A 19,884-nucleotide genomic window follows, 5' to 3' on the forward strand; every position below is an offset into this window, starting at 1 on the left:
AGCTGGTACCCTGCTCCTGCCTGCAGGGCCTACCCTGCATGAGCCCCTTGACTCCAGCCTTCACACTTGAGTTTGACAAACCCGTCAAACTATTGGCACTATCAAATTCAGACAGGGTTCTCTTGTAAGGTAAGGTGGGGGGTAACAGCTAGCAGGACTTTCTGAGCAGGACTGCCCAGAAAACTGGTAGACTGGTGGGCAAGCCACGGGTCAGGCAGCTAAACGGGAAGCTGGGAAGCAGCCATGACATGCAGTGCCCTGTTGGCCACCTGCTGGCCGTGGGTGTGACTTAGGGCCAGTGCTTTCTCAGCAGGCATCTGCTGTTGTCGTCGTGTATATATTGATATCTGTACATTTCCAAACTTGAGTGAAGCAACGCGTCTGCAGGTTGCATCGGTCTGCTCTGCTGCTTCTCTAGCAGTCGACACCATTTGCTCTTATGAGCAAAGTGTCAAATGAGTGTTTTATCATGAGAGCTGTCAGTGTGCTCTGGCGACCTCACCCTAATGATGTTCTGATTCTGAGGCAGCAGGCGTGTTTGCAGAATGAAACCCGGAACTAAAAGTGTCTACTGTTGATCGATGCCTTGTTTCAAGCACTGCTGGGCAGCCCCCTACCTCACATACCAAAAGAAAGGATAAGAAACCTGGTTTCCCGTCTCCTTCGATGTAGTCACCAATGCTGTTAAAGTCTCGTTTCCAACAGTCACTTCTACTAAATGTTCTGTATCATTTGTCCTCTCACCAAATTATTTAAAGTGTTCAATTCTCTTATCCTTTCTGTATGTTTCTGCCGTTTGACCTTCTCACAATACTGCACAAAAGCGACGCGTGAGCTCCTGCCTCTTGATAAGTGCATTTTGTAAAAATGGAATCGTTTTGTCCCGTTTTGTCTTTCCAAGTTCATCTCAACCTCTCTGTTAAAGCTCGCCATCCCTCTGCCCAGGCTCAGGGAAGCAATGGAGACTCAAAGACCGGTGCTCTGGGGCGCCTTTTTAAAATTTTAATTCCCTGGTCTGCTCCCCAGGAGCCTTGGTGCCATTCAGGCCTGATGTCCAGTGTGACCCTGGTGCTGAGGGACGGCAGCCACGCCTGTGCCCATTAGCTGCACGGTGGTGGGAGGGGACATTCTGGTGAGCTGCAGACCTCAGCCAGTGAAGAAAGGAGAACAAAGTGGACAGGGATCCCTGTGGTAGTGGCAGCAAGGAGCAGGATCAGGGCCAGTCAGGAGCTGGCACCCCAAGTTAGGCACACAGTCCATGCGGAAACCTCTACTCAGTTCTCGGGCTCTCGAACAAGTTCAACGGAAACAATTCATTCTGACCACCTCTGAACACAAAGACCTCAGGAGACCAGTGACAAAGTGGCCCCCTGGAGAGCCACAGTGCGATGGCAGGCCTGTCACTGAGCCCAGACCCGCAAGGGCCCCATCCGCCTGCCCCTAGCACACTTGGGTTGTGTGCTCAGGACAGCCGTTACAGTTACAGCTGTTAGGATGTATAGTGCACAAAGCACTTTTTATAACTTTTACTCACATAAGGAATTGAAAATCCTTGTAGGAAAATTAGGAAATACAGATAAGCCCCTACACTAGTTCCTCAGAACCCTCCCACAAAGAATCCCCCAGTTTCCTAATGTGAACAGGTAGCGCTGCGGACATTTGGATACATACTGTCTAGATAAGAGACATGCGTACATGCCTATGGGCGTGAGTATGTACACATGGGCCAACCAGTCCCTGAATTACACAGAACAAAAACACCCACATGCACAAACAAGTGTAATTATATTTGCAAATAACAGTCTTGTGAGCATTTTTTAGGTTAATAAATGTAGACCTTATCACTTTTTTTTTCTTTTTTTTTTTTTGAGATGGAATCTTGCTCTGTCACCCAGGCTGGAGTGCAATGGTGCAGTCTTGGCTCACTGCATCCTCCACCTCCAGAGTTTAAGCAATTCTGCCCTTGCCTCCTGAGTAGCTGGGATTACAGATGCCCACCACCACACCTGGCTAATTTTTTGTATTTTTAGTAGAAACGGGGTTTGGCCATGTTGGCCGGGATGTTCTCAAACTCCTGACCTCAGGTGATCCGCCCACCTTGGCCTCCCATAGTGCTGGGATTACAGACGTGAGCCACCATGCCCAGCCGCATTTTACACACTATAATTTATCCAATTTGCTGTCATTGAATATTTAAGCTGTATATGGTTTTCCAGCATTTTAATCAAAGGTGCAGTGAATATCCTTATACATTCCCCTAGCCACATTGCCTTAGGTTAAAAAGTATACACCTTTGTAAGGCTTTTGAATAATTTTAGTACAGATCACCAAATGGTCCCCACAGTAGCCACTCTCCTGCCCAGTGTCCCAGAGTGCACGAGGCACTGCCCATGCCGGGCGCTGTCTTTCCTGTCACTCTTGTGAGGCTTCTGAAGCTGTAAGGGCTGTTGTTTCTCTGCATTAGCAGTAAGGGCCCTGGGGCCTGGCAAAGGGAAGGCCCTTCCTCCTGTGGGAACAGGCAGCATTCCCTCCACCCTGCCCTCTTCCTTTCTAAACCCCACCCCTGCCTCCAATCATGGATGCCTTTTTTACTTGCTTATTTCTTTGTTTTCTGAAATCTCTACAGTGAACATGTATCACTTTAATAGTTTTTAAAGAAGTTATAAAAACAAAACAAAGCTCAATCCTACTTTACCTGTGCCTGCCCCAGAATTCTCGCACCAGCTCTGGGGACATGGCTCACTGCCACCTTGAGCCAACCCTTGCAGGTCTGAGGCTCTTGTCACAGGCATTTGTTTTAAGGTGACTTCTGTTTTCGATACGATCCCATGAGGGGAAGACATGTACCTGTTCAGGCGGCTGCAAGCCGAGGTGGCTGGGTCACAAGCTAGCAGCTCTGGCTGCTGGGGTGCCGAGTACCTGCAGTTTAGCTGAGGGCCCCAGAAGGCAGCATAAACTTCCACCCTGCCCGTGGGTGCAGGAGGACATTTTGGTTCCTGGCTTTCTGGCTTGCATCTTATCAGACGGAAGAGTAGAGCATGCAGGTGGGGGTGGAGGGGGTGGGGGCCAAGCTGGCACCCAGGCTTTTCTCCTGGAGGCCCAGGGTGAACCATGGCCAGTGCTGTGCTGTAAATGTTCAGCCACCAGCTCTCTCCCCAAAAGCCCTGATCTGTAATGTTTGCCATTTCTGTGGCATAAACGCTTCTACCAGGGCCCATTTCAAGCTCCCATGTGGCACCATTGAACATGGAGTTGGGAAGAGATTCACACATTTGGCCACTGGGGTGTTCCTGTCCCCAGTCCTGGGGCTGAACCCCTCGAAGTAGGCCTTCCTGAGTAGCCACAGGGCCCTGCCAGCCTCTCCTGGCAGGGAATGTGGCAGTGGGTCGGTGCTCCGCAGCTTGGGAATTGTGCCCTCTCAGAATGGCACATTCCAGCAGGGCCATGGGGGCTTCGGGGCTCCTCTGGGAGAGCTGGGGAGGGCTCTGTGTGAAGAGGAACCCTGGGCCTCCTGCCTCCCCATCTCCAAGTGGAGCCTTCACAGGCTGCCTGCTGTGTCCTCAGGCCTCTGATTCTGTGTCACTGCTGCCACTTGGCAGACATAAATGTGCTTCCAGAGTCATGTGGTTCTAGGTACCATCTCACCTCAGTGCAGTTCTTCTGTAGCACCAAAAGGGGGAAGAAGCCCCAAATTTCTAGTGTGGTATTGTTTGGATTCCACCCTTGGGGATGCTTTCAGAACCCTAACTTGCAAAGATGGAAACAGCAGTCGCTCATGCCTGCCACTGCTGAGCCTGGAACCCGAGGCGGGGCTGGTGGGGGCTCTGCGCTTGGTTGGTTGGTACCTGAGGTAAATGGTTTTTGTTTGCGTGGTTGATCAAGAGGCAGCTTTGGCCAAATCCTTTGTACCACCCCCTGCTCAGGCATCTGTGAGAAGGTCAAATCCCCAATGGTTCTTCATGTTCCGCTTGCTTCTCAGAAATCCCTGTCTGTGCAGCATGTGGGGGCATGGCCGGGCAGCATGGAGTTGTGCTTGGCCAGCCGAGAGAGTGAACATGGAAAACCATTCGTTCAACCTACATGTGTTTATTTTCAGTAGATTGCAGTATTTTTTCTTATTTTCACTTCTCTTTCTCTCCTTTTTTCCTGTAACTGTGCTGGTTTTGTTTTGGTCTTCCTCTCATACCCGTTTCTGCATTTCATCTTTTCTTTCTATTGTGACTTCATTTCATTTTTTTTTAACCTTATCTTTTGTTTCTCTTGTTTATCCCATCCTTTTTGATAAAATCCATCGCATGTGTCTTCTTTTTTTCTTTATTTTCTTTCCTTTCCTTTTTCCTTTTTCTTTCTCCCAAACTTTTTCCTTTTCACAGCATTGGAACACGGGAGGTAGTCACCCAGAAGAACTTGAGCGGCCTGGTGCCCATCCGAGACTTAAGGCTAGACCCCAGCCTCCTCTGTTCCATCCCTTTATTAGCTCTGAGCCCCAATTTACTGATTGTGTGGCTCTTTCTGAGCATAGCATACCTGGTGACCAAATTGCGTTGCAAATGAATATCATTATGAAAAATTAATAAGTCACAAGAAAAACAAAAGTGCCAGAACATGTCCAGCCACCGTGTACCTAACTGGACAGAAGGAATGTGTCAAACCGTGGTCTGCCAAGAAATATTTCATGCCTTACATTTTGACGTTTTGTTCTTCTGAACTGTAAATATCTGCCAAATTATTTCACCAAGAAGACTTGTTTGTTTAGCTCCTGTAGCATCTTCAGTGCTTGTAACATGTTCTTACGGTGCCCTGTCACTGCATCGTTTAGCTGGCCTGGAATTCCTTGTACCACGTCTCTACCTTCTGATGTACAACTATTTATCACCTGTACCTCTCATGTGCCCTGTTTCCAAGAGAAACGAGTTCTGTTTAAAGAGAATTTGTATATTTGATACTATTCTTTAAGTGTACTGCTAACCCTTCCTTTCCTTTTGATGACAAACGAAAAGAAAAAAACATGCTTTATAACTGGCTTATCTAGAAAAACCTATCTAATAGGACATGTACTTTCTGCTTTCATTTCAAAGCGTAGTCCCTGAATTACAGTAGCAAACAGTTTGCAGAATCCTACCATTTCCTTGCTTATGTTTATTATTTCCAATTAAGGATGACACAAAGCTGTGAATACAGTAGTACACTGTAGCAAGAGCCAGACACAGTCAGACACAGAAAGATCACCTACTGCATACGCCAGACACAGAAAGATCACCTACTGCATACGCCAGACACAGAAAGATCACCTACTGCATATGCCAGCCACAGAAAGATCACCTACTGCATACGCCAGACACAGAAAGATCACCTACTCCATACGCCAGACACAGAAAGATCACCTACTGCATACGCCAAAGAAAGATCACCTACTGCATACGCCAGACACAGAAAGATCACCTGCTGCATACGCCAGACACAGAAAGATCACCTGCTGCATACGCCAGACACAGAAAGATCACCTACTGCATACACCAGACAGAAAGATAACCTACTGCATACGCCAGACACAGATCATCTACTGCATACACCAGACAGAAAGATAACCTACCGCATAAGTCAGACAGAAAGATCACCTAGTGCATAAGTCAGACACAGAAAGATCACCTACTGCATAAGTCAAACAGAAAGATCGCCTACTGCATACACCAGACACAGAAAGATCACCTACTGCATAAGTCAAACAGAAAGATAACCTCCTGCATACGCCAGACACAGAAAGATCACCTGCTGCACACACCAGACACAGATCACCTACTGCATACGCCAGACACAGAAAGATCACCTACTGCATATGCCAGACACAGAAAGATCACCTACTGCATACGCCAGACACAGAAAGATCACCTACTGCATGTGACTTTAGATTTACTCTTCACTATGTAAGGATCATTCAGCTGGTTCAAGGAATTAATGCATATAGTCACCAAAGGCTGTTAAAGTTATATACTTTTATTTATTTTAAAACAGTATTTTTCATTTAAAAAATGGTATCTTTAATTGCAGATTAAAGTTCCAACATCTTTTCTCTCTTACTAATCAAATATGATTGATAATGAAAAAAAATCAAAGAAAAAATGCCAAAAAAAAAAGTGATCCCTGACTTGTGGGCAGTTGCGGTGGATGGAGCTGAGAGAGCAGCAGGGCGCTCTGGTTTCTGCTGGTGCCCCCTCAGTCCTCACGTGGCATTCCCTGCAGCGCGATGAAGTGTAACCTTAACACCCATGTAGGGCAGAGGGTAATTGTCCACCTGTAAAAGTAACCAAATAGATCAGGAAAAACTCCCCACACCCTGTGCAGGACGGTCAGCAGCTTCTCTGTTTTCCAGTTCATATTATGTTGTGCCTCCACTTTCTATCTCCAGCTGGTTCCCCATACACTGTAGTTTATGAAGACGATTTTTTTTAACCAGGCCAGAAAAATGGGAATGAATTTAGAGAAGCTTGCTTTTCCAGAAACTTGACACCCATGCATGCCCAGAAACCCAGTCGACCACAAAAGGCAGCGAGCGACCTCTCTTCATTATCTCTCCAGGACTCCCAGACCTTACCCCGGGCTTTTTCTCATTCAGTATCAGCTCAGAGTCTGGGTCCTAGGAATCACAGAAGCAGTTAGCAATGAATGGCAAATGCTAGACTCAACACTTTACATCCTAAAATGTAAGACCATCATGAGCACTGCAGGCTCCCTGGGGCAGGCATCACCTGTGTGTCACCCCTGTAAGTGAATCCACGCTTCTCCAAGTGCAGTGTGTTCACTTGTCTCTTCTAAAATAAATGAGGTGGCTGTTGTGGCATAGCTCCTGGTGGCCTTCAGTAGGGAGTCTGAAGTCACCAAACGCCAGCTCATGGGTGGTGTAAGCTGTGGCAGCATGACAATAGTCCCTGGGCAGTGTCCTGTCCAGCCTGTGATTATTTGAAAGGCATGTTTGCCATGTTTGCCACTTTCCCTCTTTCACATTGAGGCGTGCACTTCAACTAAGACCATCTTGTTTGCTTTATTTGAAAGCAAGAGAGCAGAGTCCACAGCCTCATTCAGTTCCCATTACACAGCTTCCTGGTCCTGCTCCTGGTAACGTGGTTCCAATGCCTGTAGTGGTGACTTACGTGCACTCCCACTTCCACAGCAGGGCTAGTGGCTAGGCAGAGCCCATGCACAGAGGAAGGCCCTCTGACTGCAGACAGCACCCCTCCCTCTCCCAGGGCTCAAGGATGCTTCTGTGGCACCCTCCAGGGACGCCTCCCAGGACCCTGCCCCATAGCACAGAGAAGCTGCGGCCAGGCCGAGGAGCCCCTCCCAGGGGGCCTCAAGGACACCACGGCCTGATCCTTGATTGTCACCACACCTTTCTGCCCATGTGGGCTTGGCCCGTGGGCTGAGAGAAATGAGACCAAAGGGAGCGAGATAAGGTTCTTTGTTTCTCTCCTCCAGGGTCTGGGTGAAAATCAGTATGCCGCCTGTGCACTTGGAGAGCTAGCAAAAGGACACCATGAGATTAGCCTAGGTGGTGGGTTGGTTTTGGCTTTTTAAACTTAAAGTATTTGAGAAAAGAAACTCAGTTGCTCTCCCTTTATGCTGAATTTTAATGTCACTAAGGCCTTTTACTCATGAAATCAGGCCAAATACGTATGCAAAATCTTACTTGCTTTAGTGAGAAATAGGCAGGATGAAACAAAGATGGGAGATGATTCAAGAAAGGGGTCATTGACATTTAGTGATGGTTTTTAGTTGCTTATACTGTAGTAGTGCTGAGGCATTGTTGATGTCAGCCAGCTCTAGGTGTTCAGATTAAATCAGCTTTCTGAAGTTAGGGAAACCACAATCAGGAGTGGTTCTCTTTGGATGGTCTTATAAAATTGTTGTATAAGTTTTTTCAACTAGTGTGACAGTCACTATTTACGCCTATGGCTTGATTCCAGCAGAGATTTTAACACAATGACCTGTTTTCCCTCCACAAAGTGACAGGAGTAGCAGCCACCCCATGCTCAGCCATAGAATCACTAAGATACTGATGCCTGCAGATGAGTTCTCAAGTGGAAGACCCCACTGGAACCGGAAAACTAGAGGATTCCCTAAAATTATCTGTCACTTGGGGTTTCCATTTTAATTTTCATTTCAAAAATGGATGCCCTTGAAAAGAAATAATTTATTGATATAATAAAAGTAATCATGGAGCTTTGAAATAATTAAGTCCCTCTTGCTAAAATCTAAGACCACCTCAACATGTACCATTGGTTCCTAAAAAGTATGCAGCCGACGTGATCAGTGGAGGTGTCCTGCCTTAGGGCAGCAGCTTGGCCTCTGCAGCAGGAAACCCCAGTTAGCACAGGCTGTCCTCGCCACCTCTGCATGCCTCGCCCCGGGCCCTCTTGCCAGCTCGTCCGCACAGGCAGGTGGTGGGATAACAGTGTCGGCATGTGGATCAGCCACATCAGCCGGATATTGCAAATTCAAACATCTGGGGGAAAGTAAATACAATTTGATTTGAAAACTACGTTGAAATGAAAGTATAATCTTTATTAGAATTTCACATCTGATGTGTTCAGCCAGCTAAACTAGGCATTAACTCCTTTAACATGTAAATAAAAGATAATGTCAAAGTTCACAAATTATTCTGCCTCGCTCCTCACGGCAGTTTAGCATTTATTAGTGACAGGTGGTTTTTAAGCAGTTTGTACATTTCTATATAAATGGAGAAGCCATATCTGAAGTAGTTCATTAATGTAAGAGTTTCCAAAGATTAAAGGAGATTAACTGTGTATAGGAACCTATAGCTTCTGCTTTAAGTGGAAGTACGTTTTTGATTACTGAATGAATGTTAGGCAAACACGATTGTTACTTACTCCAGGGGGCCTCCTGTGGCCTAGGTGTTCAGCTCAGATGACACACATCTAGCTGAGGCCTTGAGGCTCCGTGACAAGAAAGCATATCCAAGTTACCAAATTAGTTACAACAACCAGGTGGATACTTTTCTAAACTATCGGAGCTTAGCTTTTGAATAAAAAATACTGTCTTACCAAAAGTATTTTACATGTTCTTGATAATGAGACTGTCATTTTCACTTTAAAAGGCTTGAGCAATTGCCACTGATGTTTTTTTTTTTTAAATGCGTGACATAATGGTCTTCATACAATTTGAATTTTTTAAAAAATCACTGTTTCTTGGTAACTGCAAATTTTACATCTCATAAGGGGAATTTTGTACTAAATTTGATAACTAGTTGATTTCACTGCTAGTCTTAGAACAGCATAAAACCATCAAGTTATACTGTGCTGTGGGAAGTCATTTATGTTTAAAATCACTTTTGCTGGTTAGTTTTATGTCTACACCTGAACATTTCCCAGAGAACTCCCCGGACGCGCTCACTGAGTAGGTGAGGCCCCCTGGCTGCTCATCCTCCCATGCAGTGTTTGCTTTTGCCCCCTGGATTGCCATGGCAACCCTCCATCAGATGCAGCTGAGGATGACGCTGGTAGTGAGTTCTCTAGGGAAGGGCACCTGTGGGCTCTCACTGGCTCAGTGGCACCTGTGCAAGAGGGAACACATGGGGGCAGCCCACCTGTGGAAGGGTGGCTGGCTGCTACCAGAACTTGGTGAGATCCCTCCCTCATAACATTCCAGCCCTGATTGCCAGGCTGCTCTGCAGACAGTGCATGAACCCATTGGATTACCTGGCACCCAGAACAACTGTCCTCCAGGAGACAGCAGACCAGAACGCCTTCCTAGCCAGCTGGCTTTGCTACATGTTGAATTCTGCAAGGAAAGTCAGCATTTTGAATTTGATGTGATTACAGCTCTTGCTAATACAGAAAAGTCCGGCTCTTTAAAGCTCTGAAGTGCAACTTTAGTAAGAGTAGTAATATTTCTTTTTCCACTTCATTTGCTATGTGAGGGAATCTTTGAACCACAAGTTATGATAGAACCCCAAAAGACATGAGCTACATGAAACCATTCACTTGGAAAAAGTTTGCTTCCACTTAGATACAGTGCTGCTTTTAGGAACGCACAACTCACAGCCCCACGCAGCATGTGTCCATCTCTGTGCTTCTTAATTGCCTTGTTCAGAAACCTGCCATCTTACATATGTATTTGTTGTAAATGAGTCCGGCACCCATTTAAATTAATCTTTTTTTTAATGTTATGAAAATGATCAGTTCATTTCATCTTAGTTTAAGTCTTTTCTTTTTTCCTTTTTTACTGCCGTCATTTCTTGTGCTTGTTTTTTCCCCAGTGAGGGTTGTCGAAGAGAAAATACAATGAAGAATGTTGGAAGTCGCAAATATGCATTTAATTCCCTGCAGCTGAAGGCTTTCCCCAAGCATTACAGGCCTCCCGAAGGGACTTACGGAAAAGTTGAAACGTGAACACACGGTTTCCTCTAATTAGCTGTTACATAATAAATGTGGGTACCCTCTAGTGTCATATATGAATTCTTCAAGAAGACCTGAAGGATTGGTTTTTATTTTTTGTGGTTTTTTTAAAAAAAACATTTCACTAAAGAGTCTCTGGAGCATGTTTTTTGTTTTTTGGGTTTTTTTCCCCATTGGAATCAATAGGAGGTAATGTTTGGCTCAATAGTGTGGATAGTAACAACTGCCTATTTAAATTAAATAGCCTTTGGCTGTAACTACACAGATCTCATCAATAGTTACCTACATGAATCAAGCTAGGTTTGTCTGAAATGCTAGAAGACTTTTTCAAATGCCTGCTTGCTCACTTACTTTTCTACAGAGTAACTCAAAAGTAACCATTGAATTACAATCCACTTTGTAAAAATCTGAATGTAAAACAGTAAATAATAAATTAAATAATTGGATCCTAGGCATACCAATAAATGTTATTTGGGGAAAGAAGCTAGCACTATCTCATGCAGTGAGAATAACGGGTTCTAGTGAATTATCCTATCTACACTACCACCTGAAGAAGTTGAAAGAAAGATTGATAAATCAACGGGAGATAAGACTTTATTAGAAGGTAACACCTGCAAGGTACCCCACATAGTTGGGGCCACTCTTTTTTCTGTCCCTTATGAGTTACAGAACAGGGAGTCTGCTGGAGACACAAAGCCAGCAGTAAGGTCCCTTTAGCCTGTCTCCTGTTCTCTGAAGCTCCCTGCCGAGGCTCCCTCACGCCCAGAGGACACATCTCCCCTTCTTCTCTAGATGTTAATGTAGGGCCTCAGATGTGGCATGTCAACACTCCCATGGGGAATTTATGACCATAGAGATAGTAGAAACCTAAATATTTTCAGAAAAAAAATTTTTTTTGCAGGATTTCCAATTTATCTTTGAAAAGACAGTACAATCATGTTTGAATGTCTGATGAAAGTGTCTTATTTTTAGGTTTGCAATAATTGTTACTTTCTTATTCTCATTCTTATGTAAGATGACTATTGAGAAACAGTTGAAATTTATTCTCCTCAAATGAGATTTTGAAAGGGATTTATGGGCCATAAAACTTAGGAATTTCATAGAAAATTTTGTCTGGTCATCTTTTATAAGATGATGATGAGTCTTATCTGCACATAGCAGAGTTTGTTTCTTAGGAGTTTATATGTTTTATTGATTCTGTTTACGATGTTTACATGTTCTTGAAAAGGTTGTAAAAGAAATACATATGGCACATATTAATGATGCTGATCCTAATGATTTGTGAACCTCTTAGAAATTCTTTTGTCTAAAAGCCTAGAGATTCTTCTGGTTCCTTTAGAAACATGTAACAAACTTGGGCCAGGGGTGCTGAGGCATGGGGAGGACTGCTTATTGGCAGGAACACAGAGGGGGTGGGCATCAGGTAGGGTGGAACTGGATGACCTTCCAGACCCCCTCCTACTCAGAAGTCAGCATGCAAGCAGCGCCTGCTGTCTCCCGATGCCTGCAGGGAGGAAAATGTCTGTGAAGGACACTTTAATGAAGGACGAAGCTCTCTGCTGCTCCCTCAAAGCTGAGTTCACTGTGGCAGGCAGGAAGCAGAGAAGCTCCTGCCCGCCAAACCCACTGCACAGGTGGCTGCTGCTGGTATCAGATTCTCCTTTTTAAGTGTCAATTTCTGTTCACAGACAGTTTGTTTTCAATATGGCTGATTTACCCTTTCACCTCTCCACCATCTCATTTAATTTGTAAATTTTTAGTTCTGTCTTTTCTCATTTTAACTTTTAAAAAATCTCCTTGCTTTTTAAAAATAAATATTACCCACATAGTTTTCAGATCTTTTTTGTCTGGAGAGCATTAAATATCTGCACTCATCAAAGGGAATATAGCAAATGTTGATCATCTGTCAGCAGTTTTGCATGTGACACCTTTATATGAATTATTTTCCCAATTTTTGCTCTATGTAATGGGTCACCATAAAACTGTAAGACTTGGCAAATGCTATAGAAAAGGTTCAGGTTTCAGTATTCTCTCTGAAGGCATCATTCCTGGGCTTCCGGCAGCATCACACGCTTCCAGTGCCTGCAGGGTGAGGGTGTGTGGCACAGAGGCAAGCAGCTCCTCTCTTCTGTAGGAGCTTTGGGTTTTCAGAGGTGCAGGGAAGGCAGTTTTACAGGTTACCGTAAAACAGAGGTTCCGTCCAGTGTTCCTTATGATGCCTCCCCATTTAAAAAGAAAAGAGATCTATGGAAAACTGGGAATGTAATGTGGATTCTGTCAGAGCTCCTACAGAGCACAGTTGCCTTTAGTTTCCTTTAAAGATGTAAAAATATTGTATAATACAGTTTTGTCCCTACACAATTGTATTTGCCAAGCTTAGTGCATTATGATACCTTTATTTATTTGTTTTGGGCAGTATTACTATATATATATAAACATACAGTTACTGTTTTATATATTCTTAGGTCATTCAAAGCCATGTATGCTGTAAATGTGCTAGTCTTTAGAATGACACATAATAAATAACTGACAAGATATTAAATGTGGTCTTGCCTGATTCATCCTATTAGGAGGACTAGTTCTATGTGACCAGCCTGTGACTGGACCATTGTTCTTGGGCATTGCATTGAGTGCTCGGGTGCTGAATACATGTTTGTAAACATGGGACCATGGGAGACTTCCATTTTATAAGCTTGTTTCTGCCTAATTTGAAGCAGAGGGGCAACAGCGTTGAGGTTAAGAGCACGGACTTTGGGAGCACACAGACCAGGTCCCAATCCTGGTTCTGCCCCTGACTGGCTGGTGACTCTGAGCAAGTTGCTTGACCTCTCCAAGCCTCCGTTTCCTCATGTGCAAAGTGTGGACAACAACAGTACCTTCCTCATAAGGAACGTGCGACGCGCCTCAGAAGTACGTGTTCATAAATGGTAGCCATTGTTGTTACCTTCCCGTCTGTGAACATGGATCACATCATCTCTGTGGGTAACCCAGTCCTCGTTGTATGACTTGTCAAAATGCAGTTCCACTTGTATTAATATTGACCCTGTTCATCGTCACCAGGACTGCATCTTGCACCACTGTGCCGTCTTCTAGGCACACACGACCCGTTATCTCCCTTGGAAAAATTCCTCTCACTGGAAATGTACAATTAAAGGATGATTGAAATGTTTAACTCTTGGAGTTTTTAGTATTACCAAACTCCTAGAAATTTAAGCTACCACCAAAAATAACATGTGCCTTTTCCCTTTATTCTCATTGATGGTAGCAGTGCACCTCGTTTCAGTGTCCTGATTCCTTGATTACTGTGAACACTGAACATCTTTTATACCTTTATGATATTTCTATGTTTGTGACTTCATTGGAATGTTGATCTATTTCATATAGATTGTTTTTAATATACAATGTATTAGCCCCTGTCATATGTTGCACACTTTTTAACCTATTTGTCAGCTGTCTTTTGGTCTGTGGTAGGAGTTATACAGTATTTTAAATGGTTTATGTAGTCACATATACCTGTCTTTCATTTTGATGCTTGTTCTGAAATGGAGTCCTGGCTTCACCATGGAAGGTGGGACATATGGGACAGCCATGTCCTTGTGGGCATGGTGGTGTGGCTGCGTGCCCACGACGAGGGGCTGGACTAAAGTGCTCACTGGCACCTTGCTTGGTGCATGGGCCATGCTCAGTTTAATATTATTAACAGTTTCTACCTTCACTCTCATGTCTCAGGATTATTTTTTCAGCATTTACCTGTTCTTATTTCTAGGATGTTTATGGTTTCAGTCCTACATTTAGATCAATCCATCTGGAATCATCTTGGTGTAAGTCCTGTGTTGTGCTTACAGTATGTAAAGTCAGAGGGAATCCCTCAAGGTCAGGCCTAATTTTGCTTCTCTTTAAAGTTAAGCCAAGAAGAAGACATGTCAGGACGCCCAGACATCAGCTACCGTGAGCTTCTTCCTGCCCTCCCTCCGCATGCCATTCTGGTGCTGCGCTTCAGTTTCCTGTTGAGTCTCTGCTTAGTAGATGACTTGGCACAATCTGGCTGCCCAGATCTAGGGGAGTTGTCCCAGGGAGGCTTTGCGCTGGAGGAAGGTAAGAGGAGCTGGAGGTTGGAGCTTCCCGATTTGTGATTTTTCCAAGAACAGAAATGATTAGCCATGTGGGGAGGTTACTTCATTGTACATTGTTCTACTGCATAACCTCCCTCTATTCTTTACCAGCATCACACAGCAGGTTGGCACCATTTTTGAATAGAGGTTTCTCACAGTATCCTCAGCAGCATTGAGTGTTCCTAATGTTGTAGTAATGAGCAGTAGATGTCTCTCAGTGGGCAGTGTGACCTCTTTGGTCACTCTAAAGGGCTGCCAGCATTTCTCTTAAGCTGGGGGGAGAAGAGCTGTTCTGTGTATAGGGGTATTGGGAACACATGGACAGAAGGAACTGGCCTCACATGCCATCGTGTTCCTGGGATGGCTCTTCCAAGACCAGCAGTTCCTCCTGGCAGGCAGGCCCTCACAGAACTCTGCATTTGGAGATGGACAAACTCTCTTCTTCTTATCACTTTCTCCCCAAAATGTCCTCTTCTACCAGCCCCTCTTAAGAGCCGATTTTCTGTAAGTTATAGTGAGGGCACTGCTCTGCTGTGCACAGAAGGAACCCCAGCCCAGAAGCACACGCTCCCTGTGGAACCTGCAGGGGTGGCAGTGATGACAGAACCAAGGGGGTCAAGGAAGATTGGAGAGGAGTGGGCAGCAGGAAACAGCTCAGGCTGCCTGACCTGGCCCCCGGCTGCCCATGAGGGCCTCCAGAGAGGGGCAGAGCTGGCTTATCGGGATCCATGATGGTTTTTACACTTTTAAAAGTGCCCTCTTCTCAGAGACCCTGGTTATTTCCAAAAGTAGGAAGTAATCAAATTTACAGTGGATAAAATCCAGTATTTGAAATCAGGAAGACAGAAAAAAAAGCAAAATAGCATCCTTTTCTGAGAGGTATATGCTGACCAAAAAGATCTTTCATTCCTGTGAACACCAAGCAGCGCGGCCTCTGGCAGAGAGAGCGCTGGGTTGTACAGATGGAAACTTGTGTTTAGCAGGCTGTCTGCTCCCAATAGTGGCCCTGGCTGCAACTGACCTCCTGATGCCCTGCTGACGCTAACTGTGGGTACCAACCAGCACCGTGGACATCGGCCCCAGGATCAGTCTACGATTTGTCTGGTGGCCAAATGATGACTTTTGAGTGGGAAAAGCTGGTGGGGGCTACACCGTGCTCTGCAGTGTAGTGGGATCCTGTGAGCTGGCCTGCACAGGCACTCCCTCCCCTGCCAGGGGCCCCAGGGAGGCTTCTCCAGCCTGAGGCTGCACCCTCCATACGATTCCACCCCCCATCCTGTGCCAACAGTAGGCAAACGGAGAGTAGCTTGGTCTTGTTTTTATTAGCTGTTGCCCTCCAGGCTACGACAGGGTTCCCAGGGTGTAGCCTGAAAACACCCATACTCTAGATTCCCTCCACTGGAACCCTGTCTTTGCCATGATTTCTTCCTGCATCAGGCCCCTGTGGGCCTTGCAGGCCAGTCCAGGCAGGTCTTTCACACTGTTGTCCCACATAACAGAAAAAGCTGAGCAGACAGGGTAGGAAACACACTTGCATCTCCATGGCTCCAAAGAGGATGCCTGTGTTAGATGGATGTAGACAGACACAGCACTTCACTGCTTCCTCCTCCTCGCCACCCAGCCCTCCCTCGGTGTCTGTGGCCTGACTCTCTCCTGGTGGTCCTACGTCTCTGACCATCCCTCCTCACTCTCAAATTTTATGTTGCCCACCACCTGCCACTAATGGCGTGGTGTTCTCCTGGGTTCCCTTTCTCACTTAAGATGATCTTCCTGAAAAATCTTACACATTCCTGTTGAACAAATGGTCACTTATATGGTAGTGACTCCTAAATTTCTAGGTCCATCCCAGACTCTCCCCCAAGGTCCAGATTACCTATACATCTAAGCACCATGCCTGTCTTGCAGGCATCTCAAATACAGCATGCTCATGCCTCTCCTCCTCCAAGCTGGCTGAGTCTCCCTCTAATAGACGACCTTGGGATCATTTTCTCCTCCACATCCCATCAATCAGCCACTGAACCTGTATCTCTTGAGAACCATCCCATAATTTCCATCCATGCACCCCAAGGCCTGGTCTGTATCAGTCCCCTCGGATCTGGACCTCTCCTGAGCATCCTCACCCCTCCTGCAAGGCTAGTCTCAGGTCTGCCTTCCTCTATGGTGATTTCTCCCCACAAATGAAGTTGGCCCTTTCAAAAAAACTTCCTCTCCTTCATTGTTGACTATGAAGATTCTTTCATGCATGTCCTGTCCACTGTCAGTCCCCTCTGTATTCACAAGAGCAAGTGTAATGCCCGCTGTGAAGGAGCTAAAGTTTGTTGAATAAACACATGAACAAATGGTGGTTTTGTGGTGTTCAACTGAAATATTTCCTATTTCAGCACTGGACCACGCTGTTTTTCTCACTACATAATCGGTTACGCTAAATGCATCACGAGCCAAATTCAAAAGGTCAAAGGAGAAGGCAAATGGCAGAGTGTGGTAAAGGGGCGAGTGAGAGGGTCTCTGAAAAAAGTCAGGCTAAAATTACAGGGGGTTCAGGCAATGTTATCTTGATCTGGATGGCCAGTTACATGACAGATTACTTTGTTCTTAACATACGAACATCCTATTCACTTTTTGGTATACTGGTTGTTTAACAGTAAAAATTAAATGTTTAAAACCCACCATTACTGAGAATGATGATTTCCAATTTCATCCATGTCCCTACAAAGGACATGAACTCATCATTTTTTATGGCTGCATAGTATTCCATGGTGTATATGCACCACATTTTCTTAATCCAGTCTATCATTGTTGGACATTTGGGTTGGTTCCAAGTCTTTGCTATTGTGAATAATGCCACAATAAACATACATGTGCATGTGTCTTTATAGCAGCATGATTTATAGTCCTTTGGGTATATACCCAGTAATGGGATGGCTGGGTCAAATGGTATTTCCAGTTCTAGATCCCTGAGGAATCGCCACACTGACTTCCACAATGGTTGAACTAGTTTACAGTCCCACCAACAGTGTAAAAGTGTTCCTATTTCTCCACATCCTCTCCACACCTGTTGTTTCCTGACTTTTTAATGATTGCCGTTCTAACTAACTGGTGTGAGATGGTATCTCATCGTGGTTTTGATTTGCATTCCTCTGATGGCCAGTGATGATGAGCATTTTTTCATGTGTTTTTTGGCTGCATAAATGTCTTCTTTTGAGAAGTGTCTGTTCATGTCCTTCGCCCACTTTTTGATGGGGTTGTTTTTTTCTTGTAAATTTGTTTGAGTTCATTGTAGATTCTGGATATTAGCCCTTTGTCAGATGAGTAGGTTGTGAAAATTTTCTCCCATTTTGTAGGTTGCCTGTTCACTCTGATGGTAGTTTCTTTTGCTGTGCAGAAGCTCTTTAGTTTAATTAGATCCCATTTGTCAATTTTGTCTTTTGTTGCCATTGCTTTTGGTGTTTTAGACATGAAGTCCTTGCCCATGCCTGTGTCCTGAATGGTAATGCCTAGGTTTTCTTCTAGGGTTTTTATGGTTTTAGGTCTAATGTTTAAGTCTTTAATCCATCTTGAATTGATTTTTGTGTAAGGTGTAAGGAAGGGATCCAGTTTCAGCTTTCTACATATGGCTAGCCAGTTTTCCCAGCACCATTTATTAAATAGGGAATCCTTTCCCCATTGCTTGTTTTTCTCAGGTTCATTCTCAGTAAACTATCGCAAGAACAAAAAACCAAACACCGCATATTCTCACTCATAGGTGGGAATTGAACAATGAGATCACATGGACACAGGAAGGGGAATATCACACTCTGGGGACTGTTGTGGGGTGGGGGGAGGGGGGAGGGATAGCATCGGGAGATATACCTAATGCTAGATGACGAGTTAGTGGGTGCAGCGCACCAGCATGGCACATGTATACACATGTAACTAACCTGCACAATGTGCACATGTACCCTAAAACTTAAAGTATAAAAAAAAAATAGTCACCAACTACATTCAAACCATGAGAGGGTAGCTGCAGATTTAAATTCTCTGAAGTAAAGTTGAATCATTATCTCTGTATTAAATAGGTTGACTTCTGAGTGATGAACCTTACTTCTTCCAAGGAGCTTTCCCACGTCCCTGCTACTACATAACAAGGTTTATTTAATATGTCTTTTCTTAATTTTCCCATAGCACATTTTAATATTTTTATCAGGGATATGTAATAATACCATTCCATAATTAAAATAGAATATGAGACATAAAAGGTAAAACAATAATGATGGTGTAAGTATTATAGAAAACATAATACATGTACTATCTTTGAAAAATTTTAGAGCTGTAGTTTGCACGATAGAAAATATATATCAACATTTCATCACATCAGAAATATATGCAATGTTAGATCTATTACATTGTGACATTTTAGGAAAAAAAGAACTGGGATTTTACTTTTGTATTCCTAAGATTGTGGCCAGATTTTGAATGACTAATATTTATAGAATTGAATTAAATGTATTTCTAAAAGTTTAAAAAAAAAACAACCCACCATTGTTGAACAATCTCCAAAGGAAATTAAGGAAACAGTTCTATGTACAGTAGCATCATAAAGAAAATACTCAGGAATAAACAACCAAAGAGGCAAAAGTCTTGTATATTGAAAACTACAAAATTTTGCTGCAAAGAAATTAAGAATGCCAAAAAATGGAAAGACATCTTGCGCACATGGATTGAAAGACCTAATATTGTTAAGATGACAGTACTATCAAAAGTGAGCTACAGATTCAATGTACCCCCCCCCCATCAAATTCCCAACTGATTTTTTTGTGTGTGGAAATAGAAAAATCCATCCTAAGATTTACATCGAATCTCAAGGAACCCCAGGTAGCCAAAACAATCTTGAAAAAGAACAAAGCTGGAGGTCGCATACTTCCTGATTTCAAAGCTTATTATTACAGAGCTACAGTAATCAAAATAATGTGGCACTGGCATAAATATGTACAGACAGAAGTGCAGAATAGAATAGCATGCCCAGAAATAAACCCTGGCATATATGGTCAAATGATTTTCCACAGGATGCCAAGACCATTCAATGGGGAAAGAACATCTTTTCAACAAATGGTGTTGGGAAAACCAGCTATCCTTAGGCAAAAAAGCTGGACACTCACACCATATACAAAAGTTAACTCAAAATAGATCAAAGACATAATTTAAAAGCTAAAACTCTAACTCCTAGAAGAAAACACAGGAGAAACTTCATTGGAGTCAGCGGTGACTTGGGTATGACACCAAAAGCACAGGCAACAAAAGTAAAAACAAACTAGACTACACCAAAATGCAAAACCCCTGTGCATTTAAAAAAAAAAAAAAAGGCAGCCTACAGAATGGGAGAA

At 44.1% G+C, this 19,884-nt stretch overlaps 1 protein-coding gene across 45 annotated transcripts in view, besides 2 other annotated features; it reads left to right on the top strand.

The window, feature by feature from the left end:
• Positions 1-17,190, top strand: part of INPP4A (inositol polyphosphate-4-phosphatase type I A) — a 149,806-nt gene extending 132,616 nt beyond the window's left edge. For 20 of the 45 annotated variants that reach the window (XM_047444199.1, XM_047444209.1, XM_047444204.1 and 17 more), the window contains one exon: positions 10,274-17,190. In XM_047444199.1, coding sequence (XP_047300155.1) covers positions 10,274-10,406 — 133 coding nt within the window. In that variant the 3' untranslated portion in view covers positions 10,407-17,190. Of the gene's footprint in view, positions 1-529; positions 9,065-10,273 lie in introns of those variants that run through there. The other 25 variants (XM_024452876.2, NM_001351424.1, XM_006712499.4 and 22 more) reach the window with 5 other exon arrangements.
• Positions 6,758-7,259: an enhancer, noted in NCBI's record as "H3K4me1 hESC enhancer chr2:99200423-99200924 (GRCh37/hg19 assembly coordinates)". NCBI's record gives its function as "activates a minimal SCP1, AML or CMV promoter by ChIP-STARR-seq in naive H9 embryonic stem cells {active_cell/tissue: H9 hESC(naive)}" and the evidence as "EXISTENCE:reporter gene assay evidence [ECO:0000049][PMID:30033119]".
• Positions 15,554-15,707: a silencer, noted in NCBI's record as "fragment chr2:99209219-99209372 (GRCh37/hg19 assembly coordinates)". NCBI's record gives its function as "represses an EF-1alpha promoter that drives an FKBP-Casp9 reporter gene in an ReSE screen in HepG2 liver carcinoma cells {active_cell/tissue: HepG2}" and the evidence as "EXISTENCE:reporter gene assay evidence [ECO:0000049][PMID:32094911]".

Source organism: Homo sapiens, chromosome 2, assembly GCF_000001405.40.
Source record: "Homo sapiens chromosome 2, GRCh38.p14 Primary Assembly".
NCBI classification, from domain to species: domain Eukaryota; kingdom Metazoa; phylum Chordata; class Mammalia; order Primates; family Hominidae; genus Homo; species Homo sapiens.